This window comes from Homo sapiens, chromosome 2 (assembly GCF_000001405.40).
Source record: "Homo sapiens chromosome 2, GRCh38.p14 Primary Assembly".
NCBI classification, from domain to species: domain Eukaryota; kingdom Metazoa; phylum Chordata; class Mammalia; order Primates; family Hominidae; genus Homo; species Homo sapiens.
In genome coordinates, this window is record NC_000002.12 from 145,639,984 (window position 1) to 145,659,059 (window position 19,076).

The window sequence follows — 19,076 nt, forward strand, 5'->3', positions numbered from 1 at the left end:
CATACAAAGTTTAAATATTCTTTCTAAATCTCTGTTTCCTGCACCTTTTAAGTCTTAGCCTAATTATCTTAAACGGAGTTGGACCACAACTTTCAAATGCCAGCACAACCAGTCAATCTTATAGAGGAAAAAAAAGTTCATAATTTTTTTTCTTTGCCTAGTTATAGGACAATTGTGTAGTTATTCTTTAATTAGAATGAAACACTAATTGTATGTTTAAATCTATGATGTAAGATTTCTATATACCTAATTCTATATCTATTACACATTATTCAACATAAATGGAATTTCTATGAAGTTCCAGATACCAGTGCCAGATATTTTCATCCATCATTGCACTCTCAGGACTTTATCTCTTATCTGAACTGCTATGATCACCTCTTAACTGACTGAACGAACACCTTCTCTACTGGCTTAAAAATGATAGAATAGAATTTATTGTGTGTTTACTATATGCCAGGTTTATGTATATTATTTATATATACACAATTAGCAGCTTGCAGGTTCATTACCACTGAATACTTAGCTGCACTTTTATGGCTGTGTTATTGCTGCATGTTCTGTATAGAAAACCCTACAGGTCTTCATTATGATAACTGGAAGTATTAGTCAGCAACTCAATACAGTTGTCATTTTTTTGGAACATTCCTAATCACAAAAGCTAAGTGAAATGCTACCCTACCCTGTCTGACATGTTTAACACCCTGTGCAATAAACAATTTTAGCATGTACTTTATTGAGATTATTATTATTATTATTATTTTTGAAACGGAGTTTCCCTCTGTTGCCCAAGCTGGAGTGCAGTGGTGCCATCTCGGCTCACTGCAACCTCCACCTCCCGGGTTCAAGCTATTCTTCTGCCTCAGCCTCCCAAGTAGCTGGGATTACAGGCACCCGCCACCACAACCGGCTGATTTTTGTAGTTTTTAGTAGAGATGAGGTTTCACCATGTTGGCCTTTTATGTGTCTCTCTTCTACTAGACTTTGTGCAGTAGTGGGAAAATATTGTTTGCTTTTCATTTCTAATATCTACCATATTGCTTGACACATAATACACATTCAATAACTGCTTACTTTTAAACTGAAACAAATTTGGGTGCAGGAGGAGACAGAGATGGACAGGAGACTGTCTAAGGTGCGTGGTCTCATTCATTTTTGACTTAAGTATTTTGTCATATCAAATATGAAAATAACTGGCAAAACTATACTCTATTCAACACTTGGGTAGCTCTTTCTGGCTTGCCTCTTTCATACATGATTTTATTGATCCTCACAGTGTAAGTATGAGGTAGGTATTGTTATTATCCCCACATTAGAGAAGAGGAAATTCAAATTTAGAGAACTTGAATGACTTCCTTAAGATCACACTACTGGCAGCCAAGGAATTGAAACCAGACCATCAGACCCTGAAATTCTTTCTTTAATTAAGATTATTAAAAAATAATAAAAGGAAAAAGAATAAAAAATCAATATATTCATTGAGCCCTTCTAATGCACTATTGATACTCCGTGGTAACATGCATTTGAGGAACAGTGACAGTATGTGTTTCATCACTGTGTGACAGAGGAAAGCCTTAATTTGGGAATTAATATATCTATGTGATTGTTTTATACCAAGATATATATGTTTAATAAAATGATACTCAATGACTATTCAGTAATTTTATTTCCATCATTTATGGAGCATGTATAGGTATATAAAATCTGGAAAATTAATGAACATCTTCAATATAACTGCCAAATTGGTTTTTCTGTATACCTTCAGGTGTTATATTTTAGTAGAAATATTTAATTTAAAGCTCAAGACTATGTAAGGTTTTCATTTTTATATGCTCCTCTAATAGCTTTATGTGAAGTTGGTTTCAACTACAGTGTTCAGAAACTATTATATAATAGAGCATATTGTATAAAACTTGTTCATTAAATAAGTCCTAGTTCATATCCATAAATATTAATTGTTTCTTGTGTTGAACTTAGCATAGCCCAAGAGCTATGTTCTATTTTATGATGGGATAAAAAAAGATGAAGAAGGCATATCCTTTCATATTTGCATTTCAATGGTTCTGCAATTGAATAGGGTTGGAAGTCATATTTGGGGAGGCTGTAAATTTTGGATAAGAAATTAAGAGATATTTGGTAGATAGTATAAAGCAGGAAGGTAAAATTGACATTCCTATGTTATTAAACCATGTTGGAGTCTCAGACTGTCTACAATCTAATGGTATAAAATAACCAGAAAGCTATTATTAAGTCAATACATATATTTACCATACACACACACACACACACACACACACACACACATATATTTACAAAACAGAATATATGTATTTCCAAAACAGAATAAAATCCTGGCCAAAAACACCAATAGTGGAAACTGAAAAAAAAAGACAGATATAATTTTTTTTAAAAGAATAATAAGAAACAGTTGGTAATTGAAAGAACTGATTTGTAAAAATGAGACTATCCAATAAAGTAGAAAAATATGCATTTGCTCCTTCACACTTGTATTCAAATAAAAATTTGTAGCTAAAAAAAAAAAATGACTGATGACAGAGATACTGCCTCAGTGAGACCAATAGAGCTTGTTCAGTTCTAAGGTGGATGGATATGGTGAGGATAAACCAGGAGGTGAGGATGAGATGGAGGTTTAGAGACTGCTGAGTAGATATGGTAGCACCACAGTCTCAGAGAAAAGGCCAAAAATAAATATAGGTTAGTAGAAAAGTCATTAGTTGAGTTTAGAACAAGTATTTGAAGGTGCTTCATGTCTAAATAGAAATATTCAAAAGTTGTCAACTGGAAATATGTTATCTAATAGTTACATGTAGCTATGCCCTGAAACCCATACATGTAACCATCCCCTTCCTCTTCTCAAGGACTAGTATGTTCCTACAATAATTACTTCTTATTTTACGAGAAATAACCACCGTGTCCAAAAACCCCTGATTTTTGCTACATGACAGTTAGTGTTTCCAATACATGAAATGCTAAAATTAACATTATGGGACTTAAATGAAATATGCATGTCTTTGTAGGACAAAAGGGATGGAAACACTTTGTATAAGTAAAATGTTGTCATTACAATGCTAAATGAAAAAATTTAAAATGCGGATTTCAAAGAAATGCCAAAAGTTCACACTTAAATAGCCAAATTTGGATATGTTTATGAATAATAATAATCCATTATTCTTTTTTACCACTGTTATTTCTGACACACTTTCAGATATAATTTTTGAAGGATGTGATCTTACCATATGTGAAAAGGTTGCTTAAGTTTTACTTCAGTCAGAACCCTATTGTCATGGAGTTCAAATGCCTACATACAGTTTTGTTGACATTGTTACGTGTATCTCCTCAGATGATAACTGACAAATCAATGCAGCATTCTGTTTTAATTATCCTTCTCTAGACACTGACTATTTCATCACCTCTTGGGGAGGTATTTACTGAGCATTTCCTATGGACAAAGCATCCAAGTAAGTGCTGATGGCCATATATAAAATAAGTACTCGAGCTCCAAAATCTCAGAAGTCATCCTTTTCACAAATACCCCACTTGTCTACTACGTTTCATACTGTTGTACTTTCCACCTTTTTATCTATTTGATTTATGTTCCACTTAGCTAACAATTAATTTTTATTTTTTTATTCCAAAAACCCTGATAAAGACACTGTACGTGAGTACGCTGGTTGATGAATGCTTTTATGACCTGCTGCTTTATAAATTTTACGATGCTCTCATTCACCTGAGGTGGACTGAGGTCATATTAGCTACATGATGGTCAATGTGCAACTACTTACAGTCCTTTGAAAATGGCACTGGTGTCATCAAATCGTAGTTAATCCTGTGGAATAAAGCTTCATAGTCAATTTTTCGAAACCCTTGAAATGTAAAGGTAAAAAGCCTTAAGTCTATGCAGTCAATCTTAAATTGTATTCCTTAAATGTTATTTTCTCACCAACGTTTTTGAAAAGAAGCGGAAATCCTTTTGGAACCCACATCTTTTAGAATGCGAAGACTTCAAGCTTTTTATGTTGTTTAAAAAGGGCAGAGACCTATGATTTAGAAGTCAGATAAACTGGTCACATTGAGTGGTCATTCTTTTGTACACTTTAAAGAGCCTTTCTTTCTGAGAAATATGATTTTTGTAAATTTGATCCTCTACCTTCCTCTTTTGAGAGACCCATGGGAGTGGCTAGAAGAATATAAAATGGAGGGAAACCCTCATTGGTGATAAAAATAGGCAAAATAATAGTCTCATGCCCTCAATTTCAAAGGATTTTTTTTTTTTTTTGAGATGGAGTCTTGCTCTGTCACCCAGGCTGGAGTGCAATGGCGCGATCTCGGCTCACTGCAACCTCCACCTCTGGGGTTCAAGTGATTTTCCTGCCTCAGCCTCCCGAGTAGCTGGGCTTACAGCCGCCTGCCACCACACCCAGCTAATTTTTGTATTTTTTAGTACAGGCGGGGTTTCACCAGGTTGGCCAGGCTGGTCTGGGACTCCTGACCTCAGGTGATCCACCCACCTTGGCCTCCCAAAGTGCTGGGATTACAAGCATGAGCCACCACACCTGGCCCAAAGGATTTTAATTAAATAATAAACCAAAGGAAATGATGTATTTGGTAAGAACCTAAGTTTGGTCTGGATTCTTCACTCAATAGCTGCTTGGTCTTACAGGAAAATTAAAAATCCCTATCCCTCAATTTTCTTACATGTAAAATGTAAAGAGAATGCATTTGTATCTATATCCTAGATTTGTGAGATTTAATTAACATGGCAAGTCCTCAGCCAGGTGTCTGTTCAGTGGGAAGTTAGCAGTAGTCACCTCCCTATCTTCCTCTCCATTGCTATGCAAGAGGGAATCAGAGTCAGAAGTAGGATTTCTGACCTTCCCCCACTGCCTGCAGGAACAATGTGGCCAGGATCTGAGTAGAGCTAATGATGAGAAAACCCCTTTCACAGTCTCTGAGGAAAAAGGACAGGATGTGGTCTCAATGATCATTTTAGAAACCCAATATGGCAGGGTTTCTCCCTTCTCTAGCAGCCAGAACAAATAAAGTTTCTTTTTAAGTGAGTATCAGAATAAAAAAATAATAAAAAATAAAAAAGCTAATAGCTGTATAAAAAGATGCATTATGTCAAAACAAGAGGACATTCCTGAATGCTTAGAAGAATTGATTCAAAAAAGTAGATATACTGTAAAACAAAACAAGACAAAAGCCACAAAACAGAACTGAAACAACAAAAAAAAATTAGAAGCTTTCTGGTTTATAATCTCATTAATATTTGAGAGAATATTTTATATATTTACATGGAAGAAGAAAATATGAAACAGAAACAATGTAAAATCAGAAAATATTGCATAAGAAGGAAAATGTGATTGCTTAATTGAACGTAAGATAGGGCTCAAAAGCAACAAAAAAGATACAATAGAAAAGGGATTTGTGGGAATTAAACTCAAGAAATTCATGTAGGAGTCAGAGAAAAACTGTCCAAAAAAAAAGAAAGAAAAGGAAAAAAAAAGGAGAAAGGTCAAGTACAGATAAAAGAAAGAAAATACAAGACAAAAGCCCAAAACAATAACAAATATAAGGAAAAATAATCAAAAATATTTTGTTTTTAAGAAAAAACTGTATTGGGATGACAGAAAATCCAGTTACAGATTGATACAGCTTAACAAATATCAAGAGCAAAAAAACTGAAGAACTCATTGCCATCAAATATTTTAATAAAAATTTTCAATCTTAATGATAAAAATTTTACTAGGAGCCAGAATAAGTAAACAACAGGAAAATGATTAAGTTTTTGTGAATGAACTACATTTTGTAAATGATAATTTAACAATTACCCAACTGGATCGAAAAAAGACAGATTTATCAACAAATTTTGGAACTATTTAAGTTAGATAACTAGGAGTGCTGTTGATATAATGTAGTTCATGTCCAAAGGTCTGAGAACCAGAGGAACAGAGGGTACAATTCGCAATTCTAGTCCAAAGCCTGGTGACCAGGGAGGGCAGAAGGACAGTAATATAAGTCCCAGAGTTGGAAGGCCAGAGAACCAGGAGCTCCAAAGTCCAAGGGCAGGAGAATATGGATGTCACAGCTCAAGAACAGAAAGAGAGAATTAGCCCTTCCTTATCTGTTTGTTCTATTCAGGCTCTTAATAGATTGTATGATGTCCATCAATATTGGTGAGAGCAGATCTTCTTTACTCAGTCTATTGATCCAAATACACATCTCTTCCAGAATCACCCTCTAGATACACACACTCAGAAAGAATGTTGTATCAGCTATATGGGAATCCCTTAGCCTAGTCAAGTTGACATAAAATTAACCATCACAAGTTTACCCCTTGCCAACTTGGCATCCATACACATCTCCTTAAACCAATTAATCTTCAGATAAAAACAATAACAAGGTCAGAGAGGAAGTCTTGACCTGTATTTTTCTTCTATGAGATGGCTCACATGGCTCTTTCACTAGTTTTTCTATCTGCTAAATGTGATTTCATCAGAAAGACATACCCTAATTGTTCTATCTAAATTAACATACCTCACCCTTTCTCTATTCTTCTTTATTCTTTAGCTGTTTTAGTTTTCTTCATAACATCACTTGACTGATTACATATTTAGTCATTTGAATGTGTGTGTGCACTGATATAGCTCCATTCTAGAACAGCATCTGATGTATAATATGCAGTCGATTAATATTCATTGACAATATTAGCAAGACTAGGGTTTGCATAAGGAATCAGTTTTCAATCTGCTCCAAAATGGACCAAATTTTTCTATTAAAAGGCTACTTCATAGTGTTTTAGAATATCATGACAGATTTTAACCTAAACATTAAGGAAGGTGAAAGAACTCTTTAGCATCTTCTTTTAATACACTCTCACCCAAATATTTGGTTGATTTAGGAATATTCATAGGACTAGTCATAAGAATATTCCTAATTTTATTCATAGCTTATAGCCATAGAAATATGTTTTAAATGGACAGATGGAATGAAATAATTTTGTGTTGATCAAATAATTGTTGAAAATTATCTATCAATTACACAAAATATACTTTTGAAGGAGAGGAGTTGTTTTTGCTGTGGTTTACCATAAGCTCTGATTCTTTATATTGGCTACCAATCAGTATTATTCAGTATTATTACACTAAAACTACTCACTCTTAGTTCTTGATAACCAAATGGTGTTATCAGTGCTTATTATATTATCTCTGTTTTCCATGGTATGCTGCAAGTATCCATTTTATTCATATATCAGAATAGTTAATAGTAAAACTTGACATCGCTTGCTTCATTTATAAAACGATGAACTGAAAGACCAAAATCTGCGACTTGTTAATAAGAAATAAAAAGTCACAATTTATACTTCACCTTAGTCAAAAGGCCAAGAAGTGATTCACATACAATTCCAAGGAGTAAGAAATGTAAAAATAATTGCATGAACTGTACTTTGAATCCATACAGAGGAATCATTTCTGAGGAAACAGTTAAAGTTAATTTGGCAAAGAACAGGGCTCACTGTTAGAAAACAAAAAACCCTTTAAATAATCTGTTCAGTATTTCATCTTTACCCATACTTTATATAACATGAAGGAAAAATTAAGTAAGTTTTGATAAAATGAAAGTTTATGATGAATAGTGGTATGTAGAGGTTCAGTATTTAGTAAAAATTTCTTGAGTATAGAGCTATTGTCACAAGTCTATCCTGATTCACTCAGCCCTCTACAATACTCCCCTGAAATAATATTAGTACAAATATTACTTGTAATAATAAATTTGATATTATAATCAAAATTTGTGGTGGTTTTAAGCCATATCCATAGCTTATTTAACTCTTCTCCCATGGAGAGGTAGGTTCCATGTCTCTTCCCTTTAATCAGGACTGACCTTGGTGATTTACTTGTGAGAAATAAAATGCAACAGATGTTGTCCTATGTGACTTCTAACTCTAGGTGATAAAAGGCCATGCTTCTTCCTCCATTTTGAGATGTTAAATTTGGAGAAAGTCTCTCCAAGAAAACCGACCACTCTGACACCACCATGCTCAAGAGACCCATGTAAGTATTCCAGATAACAGCTCAGCTGGGGTCCCTCTCAACAACCAGAATTAATTGCCAGCCAAGTGAGTGAACCATCATGGATGTTAAACCCAGTTGAGCCTTCAAATGATGGCATGCTCAGTCGTCATCTGACTAGAGTCACAGAAGAGACCCAAACAAGAACGACCCAGTTAGTGCCTCTCAAATTCCTAATCCATATTCACAAAATCATGAGCAAAGTAAGATTATTGTTTTAAGAGGAAATTTGGGGTAATTCATTTTGCTGTTATATGAACTGGTACAGATTAGAGAACTATATTTCTGCAACCTTTCTGACCAAAAATTATGGCATGAATTAATTTATCCAATTGTTTATTCTAAGCAACAAAGCTTCTCAGAGGAATATTTTAGGCTGGCATTTTTTTTTTTCAAATTTGAAATTTCTTGTAAGGGACTAGGTTTAATTAATTCTAATTTTCAGATAATTCCTTTGATATTCTCCTTCATGTCAGACATCTGTCAGCTGTGCTTTTTTTCCCCTTACTTTTTGATACTCTTTTCCCTCCATGGTATCCCAGGGAAAACATCCCTCATGTTTTCTTCAACTAATATTGGTTAACTTTTATGAAATTAATAAAATTTTCACACGGATTTCTCTCTTAAACCAAAATTTATAGGTGTTAAATAATGATGTTATTAAATTTGGCCAACAGTTTTTCATCTTGGATTTAGCTAAACATCTTTAGAGGTGAGGAAAATGCCTCGTATATAATTAAATATATAATTATTGTTATAGCTACAAATATAACTATAATAACCTGGGTGTGCAGACAAACTTTTGGCAATGATGCTACAAATCCTTTCCATTAGATTTCAGAACAACATATGCCAACTACTTTCTATGTAAACATAAAAGGAACAGAAGGCTGTCCAAACTTTAAAAATGCATACAATCTATATTTTCTTAAGCAGGGAGCAAACAGCTTTAAGCCATGCTAAATACATCTAATTAAGAGATGGATTAAACAGGTAAATCACTTTCCTATTACAGAAGGTTTAATAGGGTGCTAAGAATTAGGCTCTGGAGCCATTCAGACTGGGTTCAAACCCAGCCTAGTCCCTGTGGTACAGAATGCAAACTATGTAACAAAAATATGTATTTTCTTTCTCCGTAAGGATATTTGTCTGCATTCTTTGCTATTAGGATGAGGATATGTCTGAGTTCTTGACAATGAAATGTGAGCAGAAGTAATATGAGACAACTATCTGTTGCATAAACTCTTCTCCTTCTGTCATCTTAACGTGCCTTTTATGATGATGGTGAAAACCAGGTTTTTAAGTTTCGCAGAACTTTTATCAGCCTAGTTCCATGAATATCGTGTGAAAGTGAATTTCTCCACTGTCCATTCATTCCCAACCTGAGACTGCAATGGAATATTATAAAAATAAAAATACTCATCTATTATAGAAATCCTTTCAAAATCTAGGGTTTATACATCACAGTTGCCACAGAATCCTAATGTAAGCACTTACTAGCGGTGTGACCTTAAAAAATGTAAACCTTCAGTGCCTCAGCCTTCTCATGTATAAAACGACCATAATAAACACTTCATTACAGGGTGGTGAAAGGATTAAATGAAGTAATGTATGTTAAGTACTTTGAATAAAGCCAAATTCACAACAAGCACTATGAAGTCTTGGCCATTATTATCATTACCATTATGAGAATTCAGTATGTATAATGTTTAATTGCTAAGCATGGCCTTACATTGCACAAATAAACATTAAAGATTAATTTCTATGTTTGACCTATTTCATATGAAAAATGTTAATACTTATTTTATTTATTTACACATTAAAATACCAAATACGTACTATTTATGAAGCATAAGCTATGAATTACAGATATAAAACTGAATATGGCAGACATTTTTCCAGCCCTCACAAAGCATGTCATTTAATGGAGAAAACAAAAAGCAAGAAATTGCTCTGCAATAACAATACAATAAGATAAGTCTTATATTCAAAGTAGATAAGAATGAAATGGAAGCAAGTAAGTTGGGCACATAACAAAATGTTGAGGAACCCAGGGCTCTAAGAAAAGGCTTTGGTCATAAGTGGGAGTTGTTGGGGGGCTTATCTAATTGAACTGGGTGGATATGGGGGCTAGACAGGAAAGAGAATAGAAGTCCACACAGAAGGAAAAGCACATACTGAGGCTAGGAGGGAAGAAAAACATGGTAGAATCTTAAGAATCACTGGAGCAACAGGATCAGGGGAAGGGACAGAGGGATATGGAGAAAGATGTGGTTGGATAGGGAAGCAGTGACAAGACCATGAAGGGATTCAAGACTGCACTGAGGCCTTTAGATTTTTTTCAAAGGTCATGAGTTATATGTAGGAGGTGACATGACACAATTAGTGTCTTACAAATATGACTATGTCTACAATGTGAGACTAGCTTGTCAAATAAGTCTGGAGACCCTGAACATTAGAACTATTAGGGAGCTGTTGGAGCAATCTAGATGAGAAAGGATGGTAGGCTGAACTAGGATCATGGAGGAAATGACTGAGACCAATCAATGGTGTCAGTAATTTACAAGACTGAATTGTTATTTGTAAGACTAGAAAGGGTGTGTCACAAATAATACCGAGGTTTGTGATGAAGATACTGAGCGGCAGCATTTGAAGTGGCTCGGGAAGAGAGTTTTGGTCATTCAATTTTGTAACGTGGTGGATTTCAAAATGGAGAGAATGAGTAGGCACTCGAGTACCAATGTTCACAGGTCAGGTCTGCAAGTATCCTTGTCTTTTCACTCTAAAGGGTAGTGTAAAGGCAAAATGGAGCCAGTTCTTAGTCAACTCTATAGCCCTGAGTTGACCTGAAGCAGATTTAAGGTCAGGAAAGGTTGCTAATATGGTGTCTATCTAGCTGACAGTGCCACACAAAATAATGGGGATTTGAATGAATATTCATTGGGATGATTTAATAAAGGAGAAGATCCCTGTCTTCCAAAACCTATTCTAGGGATAATTCCAGTGTTGGAAAATCTTTCCTTAGTTCTCATCATCACTACAGAGGAATGGGAAGCACTAAGAGGACTCCTTAATAAAACTCTGCTTTAAACGAAAGAAAATCAATTAAATTCTTTTGAAGAGGAATAGAAAAGCGATTCCAGTAGGCTCAAGAGTTTTTTATTACTACTTTACTGGATGTGTCTTTCAATTTTTTTATTTAGAAAATATTTAGGATAAATCTAAATACAATAATACTTGCATAATATATGAAAAATACTAGAAAGTTTATAGAAAAAAAATACATGAAGATGCTATTAATAACTTCATGTATTTTCTTCTAATTCTTTTAATATTGACATATATATTTTCTACAAAATTCACAACACAATTTTTTACCTTGTTCCTGTTTATTTTCTGTTTTAAAATATTGCCCCAAGTCATTAGATATTCTTTGAAAATTTCAAGTATTATCATTGATGGCAATACTTTAAAAGTGTATCCATTCCCCTGTTGTTGGACATAATATAGGTGCTAATTTTTATTCATTACAAAAAACTCAAAGGGCCTTCTTTACAAGTGGTATAATAATCATGTGTCCTTAGAAGTAAAAGTATTTCATTAAAAGGTATGCTTAAGGGATGTTTAAGAACAATTTATTATTTATTAGAGTTATGGCTGAGAAATCACATTTCAGAAAGTAAACCTAATGTAACATTTGTACTATCTCTGGTTCCAGTAGTCAGTTACTGTTTAAGGTAGATATCATGGAGTATTTATGCAGCTCACATTGTACATTTTCTTTAAAGTTTGCTTTGAGTACAGATCTAACACGTGTGAAATGGTACTGTTGATTCCACCCAATGCACAGACCTATGTGGAAACCTTGAAGCCATAGTTTTCTCTATAACTTTAATGTGCTTCATTCTACATGACATTGAAGGCCTGTGTCAATTATGAAAAACTGTGAAGCTCACAATGAATGATACATTTAAAGCCAATTCATTTGTCTCTTTGAGCATGTAAATGCATTGGTATTCACCAAGCCTGCCATGATAGGACATAATAGCTACTTTGGAGTCATTTCATTGTACACTTATATATCAGTACAGCTGCCACTAATGTTTACAAGCCCATGTGCTACATATCCTCTTGATATTTTTGCAGAGCTTAATGTTTATGCACAGTAGATATGTTTATTACGCAAGCAATAACAGACCCACAGGAGCCATTAGAGCTCTTAAGAGATTAGTGTCTATGATCTCTCCCATTTTATTCTATCTCCTTCTTACTCTGTTTACTTCTTACTCTGGTGAGCTTTTTTTAAAAAAAAAATTTCCACTCGTACTGAAACAATTTATACATTCTAATAGTAAAATTAGTCTTATACCTGTCTGTTATAGATTTCAGAATATATTTTATTGGTGTGTAAATCAAAATCTATTTCTAGAATTGCTAGTACTTGCTCTTTGACTTTGAGGTTGTGTCCCTATTCTTGCTAATTCACCCTTGATAATGGTCTAGACAATAATCTACTGTTACGTAGAAAATATTTCACTTCTAGCAAAGGATTTGGCTATCTTGAAATAGTAAGTGATAGCAAGGCATAAAATGTTATGCCTTAGATCCAGTGCCTTGCAACATAACTTACAGAGGCTTTCTCTTCAAGAAAAATTCTCACTTGCGATTCATGTTTAGTCTGTTTTTCCTATCTTATCCTTAACAGCTGGGTTATATCTACTTCCAGGGAAATGTGTTATGTATGTTTAATACCAATAGCTAAAAAGAACGTTGAAAACTGAAAATAGCTTTGCATTTAAGTTTAAAACAATCTGCTGAAGAATTTTTAAGTTGATCACCAAATTAGTGATCATGACATTAATCATTAAAAAAGATAATTATGAACTTAAGTTCCAGTCTACAGAAACACAGGAAACGTAAGCAAAGATAATCATTTTTGTTTAAATTACAGCTTAATCCCTAGCTTTACTTTCTATGTTTCGAGAAGCCTCTGGGTTAGGGCCAATTTACTTCAAGCAGAGACAGTATTTAATCCAAATTTTCTGGGGCCAGCCCGTGAAGACAGGAGTTCTGTTCTTCCTATGGCCTTGTCAATTTTACTCTTTCAGCCTTGTCTGATTACATGCTTTGCACTTCACACACTTAGTCAGGAAGATTGTCATAATATTAAACCATTTTCATTCCCTCAAAGCCACATCATTTTTGTTCAAACCGGAAGAAGTGTTGGCCAATGGGGGCATTACTCACAGAATATTTGTCAGGCCAGATGTATTGGTGTTCATCCTCTACCTATGAGGCAATGTCTCTGGATACTGAGTCACAGGGGAGGGTTGAACAATTTCAGCAATTATAAACCTGCAGATGTTAGCAAGGGAGGTTTCATTTACCCCATCTGTTTGGGATTTTTTTTTCCTTTCATTTACATGTTTTTTCTTTTTTTTTAACTTTCTGAAAATACATTCTACAATTTTAAAATAAATCTCATAGCTTTCACTAGAGTAATTTTCACCCACTCAGACTCATCATAGAGCATTTGGTTACAAGGGTTAATATCAATAAAAATAGAGATGCAAGTAAGTCTTGGGTTGTGTGAGTGTAATGAAAGATGGTATATATAACTATTGCTCTACCCAATGACTGCAATATGGAACAGGGGTGTTAATGTGAAAATGGTTTTATCACTTCCCTTCAGTGTTAGCTATCAATGATGAGTGAACAAGGTTTCCTGAGTCACCCTATTTAAAGAACCATGAGAGCCCCAACAAATTTGTTTCTCAGGCCATGGGGAACATTCAATGATGGCATAGTCTAGCAAAAACTCAGAACTGACTTAAAGTTACTTATTTTGTAAAAGATATTTAAAAGCCTTTTGTATTAAATGACTATTTGAACTTTCAGTTAATGATACCCAGGCTGAATTTGACTATAAATGTATTAATAGATTTTATTACCAGAAAAGTAAGCACCTGGGTGTAATCATGTCTGTATACTTTCATCAAAAAGAAATTATTCTTACTTATATTATTTTGTGCTAAAATACAATAGTTTACTCCTGCGATACTTTTAAACCCACTGTTATTTTGAAACCAACTTATAAAAGAAAAACCCATAAATTACATTATATTTTGCACAAATGATGCACTTATATTTGTGAGACTATTTTATTCATAACAAGAATAGTTTCCTTTCCAAAGGACACCCATTCCTTTCTCTGAGCTTAAAGGAATACTATACAAGTAGCAGTGCCGTAAAAGACAAAAGGCCCTTTCAAATCCCAAGGATTTAGGACTATAAGCATTCTGTCATGTGGAGGGACTTTTTCATAATGCCTGATACTAATAAACAGCACTGATTTTAGTTTAGAGTATAGAAAACCTACAAGATATGACAGGAGGATTTCTAAATAATTGATTTGTCATAAACCTAAGTTCATCGAGTAACAAAGGTAGATTTTCCTCTGGGGAAGTGGTTGGAGAGTCCTCTGATGTTACCAATGTAATTCCTGAGGAGACAAACAAATTAGTCATTCAAAAAAAATAGTGTCATTACTATTTTTTGAGACATGGTGAAAGGCAGAATTTATGATGCTTGATGCCAGAAATGGTATTTATTTTCATGTACTATCTACAGTATAGGTGACTGAGGCATAATTACTTTCAAAAAAAATCCATGTGGAAAAAAATGTGTTTTTTTTTTTCTTGGGCAATATGAAGAGGATGGGAGACAAGCAAATTATAATCCTAGTATGAGAATAAACTATTTTATCTCATTTTAAAATATATACGACTTTCAAACAGCTTCCAAATTGGGATACTGCATCATTAAGCATTTGACATTTGTCCAGTTAAAACTATTGACTCATGCTTTCATGGCTTCCCCCTCAAATTACTACAGTGCCACAGCTGATCTGACAATATTTTCCATTTCTTATAAATAGCCACAAGAAAAGTATTAATTATCCTTGTACGATTTAATGCACCAACTGCCTTAACCTTTCAGGTTTTCTTAAACGCCAGCATAACAAGGCATATCCATGGCAGCAAATGTGATTTATGACAGGAATCTTTAATTTCTGTTTTTAAATATGTTACCCACCGATCTGCATACATTTAAATTCGCCTGCAACACTTTTCTCTGTCTTGAGGCTGTTGTTTAATATTCAAGGATGATTTTTGTCCACATACATTTTGGTCTATGTCACCTCAGATTAAATTATTACTGTTTGCAGCCTTTTCGGAGCAGGCCTCAGGCCCTTATTTACAAGAATCAATGAAACAGTAATGAAAATCCATTTTTCATACTATCAGCTCTGGCCTGCTTTTATTTAGTTAGCTGTGTCTAAGCAAGCAATTCATTTTGTGCAAATGTCATGTAGAGAAAAAAGGATACGCTGTGAAAGGGTTAATCATGAAATAAGACCTAAGCTTTCCCCCATAGTAAAAAGCATCCGTAATGTTGAAATTTTTTTAAAAAGCCTTTCTTAATATATGCAAAGTAATGTATATTGACACATAAGCAAGGCTTTTCATGATGAATATTGAAATATATATGCAAAGCACAGGAAATGTGTAACATGTTATAGATCTTTCAGTGTACATTTAGAGGAAATGAACCATTTATATTCTACAATTTAGTGAATACCTACTGTTTATTGGTACAGAGCACATAGGAGTATATTTGTCTTAGTAATTTATTTAGGTAAATATATTTATTCTTCTAGGGGTTCTTGTGCTTTTCTTGGTTCTATAGTACTAGACATAAATATTTAACAATGCATTGTCTCAAATGTTATTCATGTAATTTATCAGAGAAAACAGTGGAGTTGTAATAACTTTTAAGCCTGAACCTTCTCTTAAACCTGAGATTGATTTAAAATGCAGGAAACTGACCGAGGTTTTCTTCATGCTGCTGCTGAAAATTATTTACTAGTTCTAACCGAGATGAGCTAAACTAGTCCAGCTACCAAACGAACAAGGTTCATTTACCCCTTTTTGAATCAGCGTTCTTAAGCTAATACTTTGGCTACATAATAAAACGAATTAGTATGAGAAGAAGCATTTAATTATTATGAATATATTTCATAATATATTTGCTGACCTACCTACTTTCCTTTATACATATATGTATACACAGAAATATACATTTATATTACCCCGTGTGAGTGTTCCTCTTGGGAATTTCTGCTAAATTTTAATGCACTTGGCTATAAGGATGTCAGTTCAAATTATAGCTAAGATCTTGTAGAAGTGACTGTCCACTTTTTAATATCACAAAAGAAATGAATAGAGAGTGAAAGCATTTGGAGTCTCCGTCTTTGCTTGGAAATGACTTTCCAAGTCATTTCTTGGAAATGAATGTTAAAGGCTCAAAATGTGGATTTTTCTCTCTGTACATTTTTTCTATTACATTTGATTTTTAAAAATCTGTTTCCTCTGTTTGGAGATAGAATCTGTAATACTGGTGAAATGTGCAGATCTGAAAGCTAGCTGATCTGATGGTTTCAGCTATCTTTTAAAAGCTGATTGCAACTTCTATGGAGCCACAGCAGAAAATTTCTGCATCATAATCCTGAAGCTGCATCAGAACATTGGGCTCAATACTGTCATTGCTCATGAGGCCTGCAACATATAGATCAAGGCAAGGTCTTGTAATTGAACAATTTATTGTAAACCAATCAGACATGAAACCAAAACATCTAGCCAACCTCAGTTACCAAAATTGTATTTACCTCCTCAAGTGCAGTATCTATCACAATGTGAATATAAAACAGTTTTTATTCAAATCCTAAAGTCCTACATGTTGAAATTTTAAAGCTTGGGAACAGTACAACCGTCTGAATTAACAAAATCTGGGCTGCAGTGAGCTGAGATCACACCACTGCACTCCAGCCTGGGTGACAGTGCGAGACTCCCTCTCAAAAAAAAAAAAAAAAAAAATTCTGAATTATTTCTGCAAAGTGATCATTAAAATTATTTATTGTTGAAAAAATGTTGTTACCTCAAGTCTGATAAAAAAGAAAATTAATAAGTGGCTGGTAGAAAATAAGTTGCTATTTTTTGATATCATTTCTCATAGAATTAGCCCACCATTAGCTTGCTTTCACATACTGACATTTACAAAATGTGCCAAGGATTGAAAGATATATATATATAGAGAGAGAGAGAGAGAAAAAAAAAAATAATAGTACTGTGCTTTCAAAAACTGCTTTTAATTTCTCAAAACGTTTAAGCTTGGCTTAAAAAAATAATACATACTTATGCACACACATATATAAAGCTTTACTTTTGAAGTTCAAAAGCAATCAATTTGAGTTTATTTTGGTTTTATTTATTCCAGCAATCCACACTGCCTGTCAGTAACCCCTTCTAGTCATGTTCCGTACAGTTGACTGAATGTTACTTACCTTGAGACATCAACTTTCTCACTTCCACATTTTTCATATATATGATATATATAATAAACATCTAGTCAACCTCAGTTATATATAATATATAAATTGTTAACAGATTCCAAATGTTCCAAGACAAAGAGCTAAAGATCATGTCTGAGAACGAGTCCCTAAATTATAAACCCCTCTTTACAAGTGACCAGTAGGTCTAAGATCTTTGTGGCATGTTCCCCATTCAGAGTATATGATGAGATATATATAACTCAATCATTTTATACTTTATCTACAAAAGTTTGGTGAAAACTTGACAAAGGGCCAATGTTACATATTCAGTTTAAAATAGAAAAAATTCTGGTACTACGGTCTCTCAACTCTGTATCTCTCTAAGAAATATGGGGAAAAGAGTATTAGAAAAAAGTGCATAAAAAGTTAACATTAGATTTTTCTGCTGGGTCAGACTTAGAATGGATTATTTTTAGATCTTTCTATGTTTTTATTTTCTAAATTTCATATAATGACTAGACACTAGAGGGTATTTTTATTGTGGAAAGATTTTTTTTTTTTTTTTTTTTTTTTTGAGACGGAGTTTAACTCTGTTGCAAGGCTGGAGTGCAGTGGCGTGATCTCAGCTCGTTGGCAACCTCCGCCTCCCGGGTTCAAACGATTCTCCTGCCTCAGCCTCCCGAGTAGCTGGGACTCCAGGCGCATGCCACCACTCTCAGCTAATTTTTGTATTTTTAGTAGAGACGGGGTTTCACCATGTTGGCCAGGATGGTCTCTAGCTCTTGACCTCGTGATCCGTCCGCCTCGGCCTCCCAAAGTGCTGGGATTAGAGGCGTGAGCCACCATGCCAGGCCAAGAATTTTTTTTTTTTAATGGGATGAGTTAAGGAAGGTAAACCCCTGTGAGAAGGAGGAAAGCATCTTAAAGGGGGACAAGAATCTCTCCCATCCAGGTTGTTATCTTTTCTTTCACTTTTTTTTTTCCAGTGGAAATTATCCCCATAAGGTATTTATCTGAGTTCAGAAGGGCGTGTGTGTGTGTGTGTGTGTGTGTGTGTGTGTGTGTGTGTAGAGATGGGGGCTTACGTTGCCCAGGCTGGTCTCAAATTCCCAGGCTCAAGCAATCTTCCCACCTCAGCCTCCCAAGGAGCTGGGATTACAGGTGTGCAGCACCACACCTGGCTAATATTTTAGATTATTATTTACAGAGATGTGGGTCTTGTTATGTTGCCCAGGATGGTCTCAAACTCCTGCCCTCATGCAATTCTCTCGCCTGGGATTATAGTCGTGAGCCATTGCACCTGGCCCGAAAGGGTTTTCCTTTTAAATCTCTCCGAGATGGTTTGGAAGAGAAAGTATTAATTAGATTAAAAAACGTATTGCTTTCTTCCTGAGACCTGGCTTAGCCCAGCCGAGTGAATGAATGAGGAGTTAGGTGATGAGGCTATCACAGGGAGAGAAGGCTGCACACTGTGATGGGTAGGCTTCAGTGTGGGGTCACAGTGGACTGGGATAGGAAATGGGATAAATCTATGGGAACCTGGCACAGCCATTTTTTCATTATGAAAGAAATCAGTGAATCCTACTTCTCCT

At 34.6% G+C, this 19,076-nt stretch overlaps 1 annotated feature.

The window, feature by feature from the left end:
• Positions 11,684 to 11,884: a silencer, noted in NCBI's record as "peak3896 fragment used in MPRA reporter construct". NCBI's record gives its function as "represses an SCP1 promoter by STARR-seq MPRAs in K562 erythroleukemia cells {active_cell/tissue: K562}" and the evidence as "EXISTENCE:reporter gene assay evidence [ECO:0000049][PMID:32103011]".